The following is a 17,411-nucleotide window of genomic DNA, read 5'->3' as shown; positions in this document are numbered from 1 at the left end:
CCCGCCCAAAAACAATGAATGAACCAACAAACCAACAAACCAGCGAACCAACCAACGAAGCAACAGACCAGCCAACCAACCAACCAACCCACCAACCCAGCTCTCTGTTTTCCAGGGCAACTTTTCTTTACAGTTCTGCCGGAGATGGTCCAGGACTCACAGCTGGTTTCCTGAAAGGCTGCCACAAGATGGCGACAACGTCACAGTGGAGAATGGCCAATTGCTTCTGCTGGACACTAACACAAGCATCCTCAACTTACTGCACATTAAAGGTGTGTGAAGTTTGTAGGTTGGTAATATTATTCTATATGATTATATCACTTGTAGGGGGGATGGAGGAGGGAAACTTTCTGGATAAGTTCCAGAACTTAGTTGACAATTTATCCTCAGACCAAACTGAAATTTTACTATGTAAAGGAAGAAGTGGTCAGAGGGTTCAAAGTGAAAGGCCTTTCTTTGGACTCATTATAAGCACAGAGCTTGATTAGTTTAATTTTTCAAAAACAAGAAGGTTAACAGTGTTCTCAAAGAATATGCTTCTTTATTCAAGCACTTTTTAGTCATGCTTATCCAGGACAGCCCCCACAATATAGCAAAATGCCCTGAAATTGGTTAACGTTGCTGCCTTTGAAATACCCTGCCAAGAAAGCCATGTCTTCCTGCTTTTACCCTGTTGTGGTTTTGACTTCTTGGTCCCATGGAAAGTCATATAAATAGGCTTTCTTATTGCAAAACCGGCTATATAGCTCTAGGGTTTATGAAGTTGGAAGAGGCTGAGATTTCGAATTTCAACCCTACTACCACATCTTCAAATGGCTAAGTCAGTTATTTCACCTCTTTGTGCATTTCTTTCCTTATCTGCTAAATGAGAATAAAAATCATGGCCTACTTTAGTGGCTGGAAATAAGGAATAGTTATCAAAATGCCTCTGTTCATTGGCAAATGAAAATTACATGGGAGATATGATTAGTTATGGATCTCTATGAAACTCTGCACTAAAACACTGTTCTTTACTATAAATATATTTAACACACAAACATTCATCCTTATTAAGATAAGAATATAGCTACATGAGGGGAAAAATAAAATATTTTAAAGAGGATAAACTAATGGAATTTTAATACCTGTCTCTTTTAGACCGAATCAGGATTTAGGCATTTTGTCATTCTCTATTCTGGAAGCTGTTTTTTTTCTCTTCTATAGCAAGGAGAAGTTTTCAGTCAAATCAGTTAATTAGTGCCCTTTAGGGGATAAAATGGTCTGTCAGCTTGGGCTCTTGCCCTGTCTTTGTGTGTGTGTGTTTGTGTGTGTGTGTGTGTGTGTGTGTAGCTAGTGGCTATGGGAATGCCACTATAGACAGTCATCAACTACCTAAGGACCAGCAATGACAAAGGAAAATTACAGACCTAAAGCCTCATTTCAGAGAAAAGATACTCTTGGCAGGCCTTTAACCAGGGCTTTCTCCATATGAATCAAATTCTGCAGGAGTATGGGCTCCCCTTCAGGCATTCAAAGGTCTTGGCCTTATATTGCTACTACCATTTGGGAGAAGTTTCCCAGCTGAAAGTCTTGGATTACTAAATCTCTGGATGTACTGTTACTTCCAGGTAAATCATGAATAGTGTTGACAGCACCAGAGGCTGAAAACAGAGAAGAGGCATCAGAAGGAGAGAAAAGTGTAGGAGAAAGGCAGGATAAGTATAACATTCATTTGACTTCTCACTCTTAAGGATTTAAATATCTGAGCAATCCCAATACTTGCCCCAACCTCCAATAGTGGTTTTTCTTAGCATTTCTGGTTTAGGTAATATTTCACTCTCATATTATTTAGATAAGTGAGTTAGGTTTGGAAAGGCAAACCCTCATCCTGTGGAGAGGGAGAGTAAGTCATCTGAAGGGTCTCTTCTTTCTCTTGGGGAGGAGGAGTAGGTAGGATGTAAGGCTAAGTAGTAGATTCCAGTTTCTGCACGAATAAGATACAGGAGTTGTTGGCAAAAGACAGAGCTACCTAGAGTGAAACGCTGAGGTTTTTATCATAGAGATATAGGTCATAACTTCTAGAAAGAATGAGAACAGGGCAAGGACACAGATCAAATTTTGTTCAACAGATAATTTGTGAATGCTTATTGAGTGGCCTAGGATTCCTGTGTGAAATACAAGAAAAAATGAAGAATAATACTGGCAGTAACATGTAATATTACCAAAGAAAAATAATTAGAAAGTAAATGTAAAAGACTAAAACTTCTGGTTCTAAAATAAGTGATGCTGGCAGTGAGGCCGAATGTATACTGGGGTAATCTTGGTGTCAGTTGTGTAAGATTAGAGTTGGAGAGCGGAGAGGAGGTGAAGGGCAGATCATTTGTGTCTGAGACATATTGCGATCACATAGATATTAACATATACACAAATCAAAGTTTGAGGAAATTCTCCATCTCACTTACTGGAATTGTATACATCCAGTGGCTCAGACCAAAAACCATGGAGGCATCCATGACTTCTTTCTTTCACCTCCTATGACCACCCCATCAGTGAACCCCGTCGGCTGGATCTTCAACATGTGTCCCATGTAGCAACACTTCATTGGTACTAACCTAGTCTTAACCACCACATTTTTGGCCTAGACCATCTTAAATTGCCTCTTATTTTGTTCCCATATTTCAGATTCCTTGTTTTCATTAGTAGTAAAACCCTAATTTCATTGGTGGCAACAAAGTACTCAGCTGAAATGCTCTGTTTCCTGAACACTTTTGTAGCTAGACATAGCCATGTGGCTAAGGGCTTACCATGAGATAGAAGAAGTACCCTGCAGAACATCTGAGAAATTTCCAAAAGTAGAGATGACCCAGTAGGAACTACACCCTATTTTCCCTTCCTTCTTTCTCTTTCCTACTTGCTGGTATATAAATGTAATAGCAACATTTTCGGCCACTATTTTGGACCATGATGCTACTTGTTAGTTAGAATGGAAAAGCGGAAGAATAGGACAAACCCAGGACCCTGATGACTCTGGAGTTGCCATGATAAGGCATTCAACCACCCACCTCTGAAATAACTTTTTGTGACAGGAAAATAAGGCTTCATGGGTTTAAGTAATGGATATTTGGCTTTTATGCTATATGGTAAAGTAAACCCCCAGCAGTTTATGGTCCATTTCCTTTAAAAATTTAAGTCAAATCTCTCCTCAAAACCTCCAGTGGAATCTCAACTCACTGGGAATCAAATCACTGGTCCTTACTATTATTTAACCTCTGATCCCCTTGTTGACCTTGTCTTTCTCATTCACTCTGCTCTAGCTCTTCTATGAATATACCTGCCTCAGGACCTTTGCCTGTAATGTCTATGGCCTGGAATGCTCTTCTTCCACATTCATGTGGCTGGCTCACCTATTTCATTTGCTCTTTGAGAAAATATCAACTAATCTGGGAGGACTTGCTGGCCATCATTTCTAAAATTACAGCCACCCCCCAGGACTCTTTATCCTTTGATGTTGCTTTACTTTTCTTCATAGTACTTATCATCACATGGTATATTATCAATTTACTTGCTTGTTTATAGTCTGTCTCCTCTACTAGAATAAGCTCAAAAAAGACAAAGGATTTCATCAATTTATTTACTGTTGTCTCTTCAGGGTCTAGAACAGTGCCTGATGCATGACGAAGGCTCAAAAATTTTATGTTGATTGTAGAAAGAATGGACAAGTAAATGGTCCTGGGTGAAATTTAAGAAGTGTATATTTTAAACCCTTGCTCTCTTAAATACCACTTTTCCCAGCTAATTTACTTTCACTGTCCTTAGTTGTTCTCACTGATTACACACACACACACACACACACACACGTATGTATAAGTACACACATATACACTTACATATTCACATATACATATTTACACACGCAAAATATGTACATACACACATATGTCTATATATATTTGCATATTATGATGAATTGTTAGGAATATAAAATCTGTTGGTAAGTTATATTTCTGTTTCTAAAAGGCATATGACCAAAGTCTTCACTGGTGAAGAACTACAACTTTCAAATATCTGATCAATGTAACATAGCTGTAAACCTCTTTTAATGTCTTCCCTTGGTCTATAATATGTGTGAAAGTACTTGAAAGATAATAAAGAGCTCTTCAAATATAAGATTGAATAATCACAATCATCATCAACAACAACAACAGTAACTCACCCTCCAAATATTAGTTACTATCTTTTTCATATACATTCACAGTGTCAGAAAAATAGCTGAGTGAAATTTTCTTTACTTTTTCTGATACCATCTGCAGGCTTAGATAAAGCCTGAGAAATTTCAAGCCAAAAATAATTTCTTCAAAAGATTTTAACCGACAAAATATGAAGTATTATAATGGAAGTACTTTCTCAGCCATTTCTATATTACAAAGAATACATTCTACATGAAGTATATATATTTTGAAAGGATTACTGCTAAGTAACAGTGAAACTAGATCACCTAAGAACTACATTTGGAAATACTTTATGAAGGTATTACATCCTTTATATTATTTTTCCATTCATGGAAGCCAGCATCCTGATATGTAGAAAACTGGGCTCGTACAACAGGAAAACCAACACTTTATGGACCCTCAAGAGTCTTGAACTCTCTGTGCCTTACTCATATTTTCATCTATAAAATAGAATTGACATTTTTTTCTTACACATATTACTTATATAGTAGAAGGCAGGGTCATAAATTTTTGGGGGGCAATTGAGAAGTGGCCCCAATGTTTTGTGTCATTATTTATGATGCTATATGTACTGACTCCCAACTTAAAAAGTAGCAGATTCTTTTGTGACTGTGATAAGAGCTTCAGCTGCATTTATTATTTTATTTTAATTAGAAAAAGATCCAGAACTTTTGTCTACTTACTATCTCTACTTCTTCCCTCCTTCCTGCCCTCCCTCCCTTTTTTAAAAAAAAAATATTTTTTAGGGGCACCGTTAAACACAAAAGAGAATTAACCCAATCAATTAATACTAATGAGCTGGGATGGAAATAGGCATATTGCCTTGATTTAGTTAATTATATTTTCATTCTTTTATGTTAAGATGCCCAATGGCCATAGGCATTGCTGAATTAAAATTTATTATTTTTATTCCAAGTAATTATGATGAGCCATAATCACAAAGAAGGAACGTTACCCTCTTGTCAGAGCATTCTGCATCCCGGGCAAGGATCTTGGGTTGTGGTCTGTAGTTGGGGAAACATTCATATTTCCTGAATGAAGCAATGAATCTCTTTCTGATCTGGTCATCAAGCAGCTTGATGTGAAGTAGTGTAACGATAATGATTAATGAAAGGGTCAATTAGGGGAGAATGAACTCTCTCCTTGGTGTTGAGCTGTTAGGTGTAGGTACTCCTATCACACACACACAACACAAAAGAAGGTAACTGTGAAGTGATTGATATGCTAATTTGTTTGACTATAGTAATTACTGCATTATATATAATACATATTTATCCACACACATACACACATGAAAACATCCTGTTGTTTGCCTTAAATATATACAATAAAAAAGGAAGACAGTTTGTAGTTTCTTACTACTCACAATGCCAGTGCTTGTGTCTGAGCAGAAACTTGTTTCCAGTCTCTGTTGCTGCTTAATAGTGCACTGGTTTCCTTTAATGTGATTTTCTATTTTTTGGTCTACTGGCTTATACTAAAGCAGTTAAATGCTTGGCAGTATTTCTAGCCACAAAGAACTGAGCCTGAATCTGGGCTCCACTACTTCCCAGCTCTGTGACCTTGGGCAAGTTGCAGACCTTCTGTAAGTCTCAGGTTTTTCCTCATTAAGGTGATACCTGGTTATAATGACAATAATAGTAACAATGAGAGCTAGCATTTATCATTGTTGCATGGCAATATCACAATGTATTGCCTGTCTCGTATGGATGTTTTCAGTATTAAATGAGGGGATATTTGTAAAGCCATTAGCACACAGCCTGGTCCAGAGTAAGAACTCAATTAATGCTAGTTTTTGTTACTTTTGGACTGTCAGAGATAACAGGAGATATGGCTGAATATCAGGCTTAAGTTACAATTTTATTTACAGATAGTGGCTGCTTCTATATACAAAGCAAACTGGATTACTGAAAGAATTAGCTGGGTAATAAAGACCTTGGATTGCTTTTGCTTCTGTTATCTTCAGAATGCATATTGAAGTGTTTTTCCTTCTATTGCGAGGGAGGGACGGATGGAGAAGTGGATCCATTTGCTTGCCGGCATTCTCCTTGTTACTTTGACTTCACAGAAACATGTTTTTCTGGTGTAGCTTGGAACATGATCTCATTTTCTCTCAACTGTTTTTTAGTTCACAGTTTTGAGGACATTCAGATCTTTTTAAGTCCATTACATCTGGGGTTTCTATGTCATGGAAATGCATATTCTTGGTTTATTGAAATGAAGCATCTTCTTCTGACTCACTGTCAGGTTCATTGTAGAATTCCTTCATCCTTGACAAGCATTTGAGGATTTCAGAGTGAGGTATTAAATGATGAACCTATCACAGCCTTTTTTTTTTTTAATCCCAGGGATTGTATACTTGGTTGCTTCTAGTTAGCACTAAGCCAGCCTCAGATTCAGTAGATGCATGCTTCAGATAATGCTTTCCAATGCAGTTATCTAGAAATGTTACAACACAGAACTTTCCTGAGATGTTGCTTGTGATCTCTTTGTGCATCAGGCCTGTGTGAGTCACTTGGCATTTTACCCTCTGCCTATAGTTTCAAGACTTCATAGCTACCAGTTAGGATAAAACAAAATCTGAAGGAAGGCAGTAATTTTGATAAAAATATGATATTCAACAATAATTTGTTTTTTTTCTCTAACTGTAGAATATCTTGGTCAACAGGAGAGGGTTTTGTGGGCTGGAAACATTGTTGCAAATTGGTAAATTCAAAATAATTTATCTGCAAGTTGGCTGTAAAAGAAGATGGACTGAATTGCCCTCTTTTGTAGTCAAAACGTAGCTACCCTTCAAGCCAGAAGATAGGATGCTTATGTGCAGACAATACAACAAGGTTGATTCATTGCAGTTTGGTCAGCAAACTGGAGCCTGACTTCAAATTTGAGTCAGTCACAGACTCTTTTATGGTTTTGGGTAAGGCTCTGGTCCTCAAATCAATGCACAAAATGGAAATAATGGTGATTCCCTTCCCTGTGTAGGGAGAAAATGTCTTGTATAAACCTCTACTGGATGTTAATGTTGTTTGTGTGTGTGCAACTCTGTGGAGGAAGAGCAGTATAGGAATGAGTAAATTTTCTTCCTATATTTGGCAGGCATGGTACCCTAAGGGGCTGGTCTGTGCCATTATCCAGAAGGGAGGCCTGATGAAGAAGTTAGCATCAGAACTAGCCCGAGTTTTTTTGAAGTTCACTCTTAACTCTTGGGTGTCTTCATGTGCTGGGCTTTTCTTGGTGACAAGTAGGTGTTACTTATTTCATGGGAGGGGAACTTTGCTGATATTCAAAGCTAAGTGTATCACAGGTAGAATTTTTAATTGGTTAAAAACTTGAATTATTTTTATATTAATTATTTACAAATAGAATATCAAGGTGTATTTTTTCTTCCCTCTACCATTTTGGAGGCTTATAAAGGTCTAGGCTGTAAGCTGAAGAAAGGAGGGGCCAGCTCTGTTTTTGCTCACCTTTGTGTTGCCAGCACCATTTTATCTCCAGGCACGAAACAGGTACTCAAATAATGGCTGAATGAATAAGCTAATAAATGAGTTTCAGACCTGAAGAGGCAGATTCATGTTTGTTGAGAATTTCTCTATAATCAGAGTCCTTCCTGGTACCCTCAAATGTTAGTGGATTAGTCCAGACAGTGACCAATTTTATTTACTATTTGTGTATCAGGAGATCAGAGACAAAGGCTTTTTAATGTGGGGGACACTTGGCTCTGAGACCCCTTATTTTTCCAATCAGACAATGACTTACATTATTTACCTCCAGAGAACAGTCCCAGACACACTTGATTAGCCTTAAATGAAAGATAAGCCATTGCTATGAGAAAGGACATGCTTTCAATAGATGGGCAGACAGACAGATAGATAGATATTAAACAATTTACAGTTTTATGTCTTGACAACTTGGATATTGTAACATGAAAAATGCTACTGAAAGGGACCAGTCCCTTCCTAGCAGAGAAGCTATAATATTTTCAGTAATGAAAGATAAATGTTTCAAGCTTCCTTACTTAAAACCTTTCATTGGCTTTCCATTAGCCTGTAAGTTCAAGTCCAAACTTAATATGGCTTATAGGGTCATGCAGGACTTGGTCTGTCTTTACCTCTCCATCTCATTTGTTCATTAATGATCCCTATATCCTATTCATCCTGGACTGGAAGTGGAGCTAGAAATCTGAAGTACTTTTGTATTTGGGATTCTTGTGTAGATAAAAATATGTTGGGGACTGAGCATTTCATTATTATAGTTTCTATACAATATTCCTGGGGTCAGGTAAAGGTAGGAAGTACTGTATTCTCATTTTTAAAATTAATAAATACTATAAGAAAAGTATTGTTTGCTTTTATTTCCAATACTATTATGCTATACCAAATCATTTTTATAATATTCAGAGAATAATTATATTTGGAACCTTTTGAAAAAACAAGTTGCTTAGAGAGGTGTATCAAATTGCAGGCTGGTCAAAAATGAGATTGGGTCAGTGCTAACTGAACTTTGATAAAGAGAAAGAGGAAGATTATCTGAATGAACTTAGTAGCTAGGGGGATTTTTACATGCTTGGTACAGACCTCGGGAAAAAGACGATTTTTTTTTTGTCTTTTCTATTTCTCCTTAGAAATAGCTTTCTTCTTGAGATTTTAAGTGACTTTTTAGAAAGCCATGGAACAGCTGAAGGCCTTGAGCACTTAAATGCTAGAAGCTTTGTTGATAAAATAAGTCATGGTTTTCTAGATGTAGAAAGGAAATCAAAGTTTAGTTAGGTAGTAATTGATAACAGTAGCTATAATAACAAAGGCATTTACTTATATCTTAGTGTTTGAGTTCCTTTAAATATTTCTGTGTAGTTTGCCTTCCACAGATATGTTTACACTCTGTAATTAGTACAGAGTTAATACAGTTATAAGGTTACCTTAATGAGTTTCATATTTTGTAGAAAAAGTAAAGAGCTGAGTCACAGTCTTTATATTCTCTTATAGTCATCTCTAAAGTGGGACAATTCACTAAAACCAACACATTTCCATTCACCCGGAGGAGCAATTCAACTTCACCGTGACCTTCAGAAACTGGAGACTCTATTTTACATTTTTATTTCGGTACCTAGCAGAGGAGCTGGAAACTAGTGGTAAATGTTGGTTGAGTGACTAAGGGAATTATTCTATAATTCCAGGCTTGTATTTTCTCAGCCTGTTTCAGATGATGCCAAACATCACCAGCCTACGGACACCTAGAACAATCACTTAATTTACTGATAGTAGTGATTCTCAAAGTGTAGCCCCCAGTCAGCAGCACTGGCATCACCTGGTAACTTATACAAACTGTAAATTTGGGAGCTCTACAGTAAACCTACTCTGGGAATGAGGCCCAGTAGTCTGTGTTTTAAGACATCCAAGTGATTCTGATGCAGGTTCAAGTTTGAGAACTACTAGCCTAAAACAATAAAAGGAGCCCTATGGAATTGTGAGGACCAGAAGCCAATTAGCCTGGCCCAACTACTCATTTCCCAAAGGCTATGAGACCTTTAGCAAAGAACAGTGGAAACTTGGCTGGCCACATTGAATGGGCTTATCTTGAGCACAGCATTTTTAGTTGGATGCACAGGTCCCTACCCCGCCAGGGAAATCTGAGTTGATGAAAATGGTTTCTCCCAACTGCTATTGTTTGCAGCTCTGAGTCAGTGATTTTATTTCATATATATATATATATATATTTTTTTTTTTCTCTATATTGCCCATTTGACTGCAGTACCAGGCTAATTAAGGAATTAGTATGTGGCATCCATTCTGGGGAGGTGTCTGATTCTTGTCCTGCATCCTGTGAACATTTTTGCAAACACTTTCTAGTTCATATTTTCTTTTTTTAATCAGGCAGAGACATTACAATTAAAATACCGTTAAAGTGATTCTGGCAAGTATTGCAATAAGCATGTTTTTTAATTAAAGGAAGAACAGGGAGATGCATAAGCAGTATCAGCTAAAGGGGAAAATTTCTTCTGATATCTATTTTAATTGAAATTTTGAAAAATGGGAAAAACAGCAGCAGCAGCAGCCTCTGCTTCTGTGTGTGTGTGGCTCCATCCCAGGTTGCTAGGTTTAGGTATTCTGTGCTTGATTAATTAGTAGCCAGCCAGAGAGTCCATTCCCTTTGCCCCCAATCCTTAAAGCCTGATTTATGCCTCACATCCCCCATGAATATGTGAGGGCTCAGGCATCTATTTCCTGAGCTGCTAGTGGATAGGATTATGGAGCGTGGACTAAGCTCTTGGGGGCTCTCGTTTGCCAGCCAAATTGATTTTCCGCCTCTCTGGCTGGGGACAAGCCCACCTCGAAGGCTTCCCAGGCTCTGCTCCAGTGGATCAGGCACAAGTCTAATCCGGATCTTGCCAACAAAGGAAGCTGTGTCCATCCGTGTCACAATGCAGGTTTCTTTGGGCTGTGGGTGCCTTCTCTAAATGCTCCTCTTTCCTCCTCTTCCTCACCTTCTCCTGGCTCCTGCTCCCAGAGCAGCACAGTGCAGTAAGGTACAGGGATATACTCCAACTCTGCCCAGATCACTCAGCCAGCTCTCCTTACCCAGGCAGAGCAGGATTTGTCCATCTTGAATGGATGATTCCTTTTCTCCAGGGAAAGGGAATTCCACAGGCTTCCTCGACTATCCATTTGACTATTTAATAATTGAAAGGTAAGAATATATAGGCTGCTAAATTTTTTAAGAAAAAATGGTGAATTGGGGGTTAATCAATGTAGGCAAGTAAATTAGTTTACATCTAAAAATTTAGATAGTTCAAGCTTTGAGTAAATGAATTATCTAGCTTGGTGATACAGATTAATCTAATGAATTGGGGTTCTCAGATCCCTCCCTGGTCTTGCCTCCATTTACCTCTCATTTTTCCTCTGTTTAAAAATAGAATCACTCTCCCTGGGTTTATTTTATCACCTGACATTCACATCCTAACTCTGTACATGCTGGCTGTGCACCTTTTCTCTCTTGATCTTCCTAAAAATGGCATTAAGGGTTTGACACACTCATCTACCTCTTTAACAGTTCTTAAGGCTCTTCGTTGAGCCTATGTCTACAACCTTATGATCCTTCTAACTCACCTAATTCTTTGATCTGCTCTCAAGAATCTTGTTTCTTATTCTAGCCTTTAAATGTTGATGGTTGACAGTTGTTTCCCTACCTTTACCCACCTTACCTTTCTTCTGTTCTTACTCTACATGTCCTCCCTGGGAGACCTCATTTACTTTGATAATTTCAACTCCTCGTTATTCAACAAGTATTGAGTGATCACTTAACACGTTCCCCATGTTCCAGGCACAGGGACTATGGCTGTGAACAAAACAGGCCAAAATCTTGCTCTCATGGTGTTTACTTCTAGAAGGAAAACAGTCAATAAACAAAATAAGAAAATTATAGTTTTTGTTAAATTTGCTTAGTACCATGGAGAAAAATGCAGCAGGAGAGGTGAATAGGGAATACACATTGGAGGTGGTAGTTGGGGATATTGGCACACAGCGATAGCAAATGTTGTGAGGCAAGGGAGCAAAAAGGAGTATTGGAACAAGGGGGAGAGCAGAGGCAGATGGGGCCAGAGAGAACCAACGCTGTAAGGTTTGATAGGCTTTGACTCTAAATATGATGGGAGCCATTGAAGAATTTTGGCAGAGAGGTAACACGATATGGTTCACATGAAAAGAAGGAATGACAACACTGAGTGTTGTTTTGAGAATTAACCCTGAGGTAGAGGATAAGGGCAGAAACAGGGAGCTAAGTTAAGATGCTGTTACAATAATCCATGGGTGAGATGAGAGTGACTTGGACCCCAGAAGTAGATGTGGAGGTGGTAAGTGGTTGGGTTATAGGGGACGTTTTGAAGGTGGAATGCATACAATTTCCTGAAGTATTGATTATGGAGTGAGAGACAGTGAAAGTTAACTCTGTGATTTTCAGACTTAGCAATTGCAAGGATGAAGTTACCATTCATGGAATGGGAAGGACTGAGGGAAGATCTGTGGGGCAAGACAAGGAAAGGAGTTCATGGATACTCATAGTTAAGAAACTATGAGACATCCAAGTAGAGATGTTGAGTAGGCAGTTGGGTATGTGAATCTTGAGCTGAGGGCACAAGCTTGGAGATATAAATTTGAGAGTCATTGACAATTAGCGTGCGATGGTGTTTAAAACCTTAAGACAAGATGGGACAACTGGCATGGTCTACAGAGACTGATAAGAAACGTGTTTAGAGGGCTGAGGCTTGGGACCCACCAAGTGTCAGTGGTTGGGATGATCAGGAGGAATCAGGCAGAAGAGGCTGAGAAGAGGATGCCTAAGAAGTAAGAGGAAAACCAGCTGGGTTTGTACCCAACCTACTTAATTAGAAAAGTCCCATGTGCTCACTGTCATTGAGTCAATAGGGAGCTTTCTTAGTATTTGCTAAAAATGAAGACATGAAATTAGATACCAGGTGAAGGAAAGACAAAGGTTCTAAATAGAAGAGTTTATTCTTCTGTTCTTTTATGAGTTACTAGCACTTTTGCATTTTATGAGGTTTTCTTTAGCGATTCAATACAATGTATAGAATATAGCACATGATGAAAATTTGATAGAAGTATAGAAACATTGGATTTTTTAAATAGAGATGAGAAAATGAAAGAAAGAAAAACAAAGAGGCTGGGCAAGTGAGGAGAGGGAGTTTTAGGAAAGAAGTGACCAAGTTGTCAAATGCTGCTGGTCACTCGGGAAGGGTGAGGACTGAGCATTGAGCCTGAGATTCACCAATGTGGTTGCCATCTGTGGCCTTGAGAGGAGCAGTTTTGCAGGTTCATCAGGTAAAGGCCTGACCAGGGAGGGTTCAAAAGACAGTCATGAAAAAGAGTTGAAGATAGTAGGTATAGCCACTCTTTTGAAGACTAGTATTGTATGGTATAATATTTATACTTAAATTTTTTCTGTAAGGGGGAAAATAGAATTGTGTATTTGTTTTCTTAAAAAAAACAACAAATTATTTTGTGGTTATTATAGAGGATGACTAATTGTTGGGTTAGCCAAAAGCAGATTTTGATGTACTTTGCAAACATTAGCTAGCTGCTAAAAGTCTCTTTTACTTCCCTTTAAAAGAAACAAAAGAGATGTTTAATGGAAAGAGGTGATTACATATAAAAAGTTGTGTTCATTTATTTATTTTAGAGGGAAGTAACAATAATGATGGTTGATTGATTTTTATAAAATTACCCAAGGTTACTTGTGGGACATAGTCAGCTTTCATGAAAGTCATAACAAGCAATTTAAGGGTCACAGCCAAAGGCTGATTTCAGCCCTGCTCTTTATTTCAGCATTTAGAAATGGGGTCAAGCTCTATAAAGTATGGAATAAAGTCCTCCCACAGCCCTCCCATACTCAAGTAACTATCCTTTAAAGCAGCCCACTGTATATTTATTTTAAACTAATAAAGTGTGAGGATGAAAATCTTGGTGCCTTGGCATAAAGATAGATTAAGTATAAACTTTATCTTCTTTCACATAAAGAAGGTTTCATTTGTTTATCTAATTATTTCAGGCAAAAATAGCTGAATTCCTCATCAAACTTTCTTCTAAATGTACCTAGATTTTCTTATATTTGCCACTAATAAAGCGGGGTGGGGATGCTTTTTAGCAGGAGTTAATGATGTTCATATTAATTAATTAGTCCTGTTTATGACACTCCTGACAACGCAGATAATTCATTTTCTTTGGGATGAGTTTTTCTCCCTTCATTAGCATCATTATTAGTTCCTGTCAGTAAATGATGTTTCAAAATTTCTACCAATTTGTTTCAGTGTATTTAACATTTTGCTTCATGGTAAAAGGGACAAAGCCCATGTTTATATATTTACCCACTAATCCTTGTAATCTGTTTCAAATCCTTTTTGGAAAAAGACAAGGTATATCTTCATTAACAAAATTAAAATAAATCATGTATAAACAAGCCATAGGCAAACTTTCTTAGGTTCACACATGTTTTTCCTTAAATGTAACTATGAGAACAACCCTAGTGAATTGAGAGCTACTGGGGAAGGTTTGTGCAAATGGATAGGATCTGAGCCTTTTGGTTGGGTAGTCCTGGGTTCTAGTTTGGTTCTGTGTATTCTGGGCTGGAATAGGTATGAATGCCTCTTAGCCACATTCTGCTCTGTGAAATAAAGAATGTGATCTTGATCTCACAGACTGGTTTTGAAGGTCATTTTAGACAATATATCTACAGATTTTGGTACATGGTAGGTGCTGAATAAATGTTAGCTTTCTTGTTTTCCCTGTAGTCTTATATGAATTCCTGACTATGCATCTCATATCTTGCTTAAGAAAAAATTCAGTGATTACTGCAGCACAGGCAGTGTCAGGAAAACATGAGCCTTGTGCCTCCATTAGTGTCCCATGCACATCTGACTGCATTCATAAAGATGTAGACGTCAAGTGTTCTAGAGTTGAAAGGAACTCATAATTCCACCTTCCACTTTGCGGATGAAACCACAGACCATTAATAGGCACTGAGTAGGAGAGATTTGGGACCTGAGTAATCTGAGGCCCAGCAATTGTATGGGACTTACTGAGGCTCATTCAGAGGTCAATAGCAGACTCAGGACAGGAACCTTGATTTTGTTCCCTGCCTTTACCACTTGCTCATCAAGGTCAGTTTAGATTTCCTGACTATTTACAATGCGGCAGTCCTGTCATACAAATCCATGTTCTACCAGTTGAATATAATTATTTAGGATGTTAATGACATGTGGCTGTGAGGGAAAAATTTTAGTTAACATAAAATTTGATCTGTAGCCCAGGTCATATTTCTTCCTTCTTGCTCACACTGGGACTCATGATTATTACTGCATTTCTATGTAATGACAATGAAAGGAAAAAAGTCAAAATTGTTAGGGAATCCTTTGGAAGTCTGGTAAGCAGTGTGGTACTGCTCTGGCATGGAGCCTGTAGACTGACCTTGCTGCTTTACCCTAGAGTATGAAATATTATATATGACAAAATATTTCAAAAGGACCAGTAACAGAGAGATGTTGGATGCAGATGGTCTAGCAGTGCTCAAGTGGTAGGGCACTTGTAGAAATTGAGCAGGTTGTAGATATAATCACCCGGTGGGTTCTTCCTGCCAGTTGCACAGACAAAATCAATTCGTCAAGACCATGGCGTTGCAGTAAAGAAAGCATTTAACTGATGCAAGGCCCTCCACACCATTTGGGGGATGGGGTTATTACCCAAATCAATCTCCCTGGAGGCTCAGAGGTTAGGGGTTTTCAAGGGTAGTTTGTTGGGCAGGGAACTAGGGTATGGGGAATATTGATTTGTTGGGGATGAAATCATAGGGGTATGGAAAACAGTCCTTGTGTACTGAGTCTGTCTTTAGGTAAGGGCCACAGCACTGGTTGAGTCTTGGGTCATGAATCTGAGTGAAGTCAGCTGGTGGTCAGAAATACAAAAGCCTAAAAAAAAATCTCAAAAGACCAATCTTAGTGTTTTTCACTCGCATCCATGCGAAGAGACCACCAAACAGGCTTTGTGTGAGCAACAAGGCTGTTTATTTCACCTGGGTGCAGGTGGGCTGAGTCCGAAAAGAGAGTCAGTGAAGGGAGATGGGGCGGGGCCGTTTTATAAGATTTGGGGAGGTAAAGGAAAAAGGGGGGTTGTTCTCTGGCGTGTAGGAGTGGGGGTCACAAAGTGCTCAGTGGGGGAGCTTTTTGAGCCAGGATGAGCCAGGAGAAGGAATTTCACAAGGTAATGTCATCAGTTAGGCAAGGACTGGCCATTTCACTTCTTTTGTGGTGGAATGTCATCAGTTAAGGCAGGAACAGGCCATTTAAATATCACTTCTTTTGTGATTCTTCAGTTACTTCAGGCCATCTGGATGTATACGTGCAGGTCACAGGGGATATGATGGCTTAGCTTGGGCTCAGAGGCCTGACATTCCTGTCTTCTTATATTAATAAGAAAAATAAAACATAACAGTATTGAAGTGTTGGGATGGTGAAAATTTTTGGGGGTGGTATGGAGAGATAATGGGCGATGTTTCTCAGGGCTGCTTCGAGCGGGATTAGGGGCGGCATGGAAACCTACAGTGGGAGAGATTAAGCTGAAGGAAGGTTTTGTGGTAAGGGGTGATATTGTGGGGTTGTTAGAAGAAATATTTGTCATATAGAATGATTGGTGATGGCCTGGATATGGTTTTGTATGAATTGAAAAAAGAATGGAATAAGACAAGGAGAAAAGCAGGTATTAAAGGATTAAGAATTGGGAGGATCCAGGACATCTAACTAGAGAGTGCTTAAGGAGGTTCAGCATAGCCCTGCCAGCAAAGATTATTTATTTACTTTAAGAGGGAGTTAAGAATGGTGGTTTGGGGATAGCACCAGGAGATATCAGCTGTGATGGCTTGGAGAAACAGTGTAAACCGGCAGTGTAAACAAGAGCAGGGCATTTATGAGTAGTTGAGAACGGTGAATAGGAGTATGACTAGACAGAAGATAGTAGGGATGATGAGTTTTTTTTTTTTTTGGTGGAAGGGATGCAGTCCAAGTTGGTCTGGTGTCTGGAATGAGACTGGGGCCTAATAAAAAGGAGCGTCTTATACAGGAGCTCAAATGGGCTGTACCTTGTAGCATTCCGAGTTCAGGCCTGAATTCTGAGAAGGGCAAGTGGTAAAAGTATTGTCCAGTCCTTTTTAAGTTGGTGGCTGAGCTTGGTGAGGTGTGTTTTTAAAAGACTATTAGTTCACTGAATACGAAGAGCCTGAGAAACTGCTTGGGTGATTTGACTAATAAAGGCCAGTCCATTATAAGACTGTATAGAGGTGGGAAGCCCAAACTGAGGAATTATGTCTGACAGAAGGGAAGAAATGACCGTGGTGGCCTTCTTAGACCCTGTGGGAAAGGCCTCTACCTATCCAGTGAAAGTGTCTACCTAGACCAAGAGGTATTTTAGTTTCCTGACTTGGGGCATGTTGAGTAAAGCCAATTTGCCAGTCCTGGGCAGGGGCAAATCCCCGAGCTTGATGTGTAGGGAGGGGAGGGGGCCTGAATAATCCCTGAGGAGTAGTAGAATAGCAGATGGAACACTGAGAAGTTATTTCCTTGAGGATGGATTTCCACGATGGAAAGTAAATGAGAGGTTCTAAGAGGCGGGCTAGTGGCTTGTACTATAGCATAGCCTGCCTTTGCTG

At 38.9% G+C, this 17,411-nt stretch overlaps 1 protein-coding gene across 23 annotated transcripts in view; it reads left to right on the top strand.

Annotated features, from left to right (window-relative positions):
- The window catches only part of PKHD1 (PKHD1 ciliary IPT domain containing fibrocystin/polyductin), a 472,317-nt gene that overhangs the window by 127,474 nt on the left and 327,432 nt on the right, over positions 1 to 17,411 (top strand). For 21 of the 23 annotated variants that reach the window (XR_001743469.2, XM_017010944.3, XM_017010945.3 and 18 more), the window contains one exon: positions 116 to 272. The exons of 1 other annotated variant lie outside the window; for it this stretch is intronic. Coding sequence is in view for 20 of the 22 variants with exons in the window: in XM_017010944.3 (XP_016866433.1) it covers positions 116 to 272 (157 nt within the window). In the remaining 2 variants the exon portion in view is untranslated. Of the gene's footprint in view, positions 1 to 115; positions 273 to 1,622; positions 7,715 to 17,411 lie in introns of those variants that run through there. One more of the 23 variants, XM_011514691.4, reaches the window with a different exon arrangement.

This window comes from Homo sapiens, chromosome 6 (genome assembly GCF_000001405.40).
Source record: "Homo sapiens chromosome 6, GRCh38.p14 Primary Assembly".
Lineage (NCBI taxonomy): Eukaryota > Metazoa > Chordata > Mammalia > Primates > Hominidae > Homo > Homo sapiens.
The sequence above is the reverse complement of the archived record's forward strand: the minus strand, read 5'-3'. Positions and strand labels throughout refer to the sequence as shown.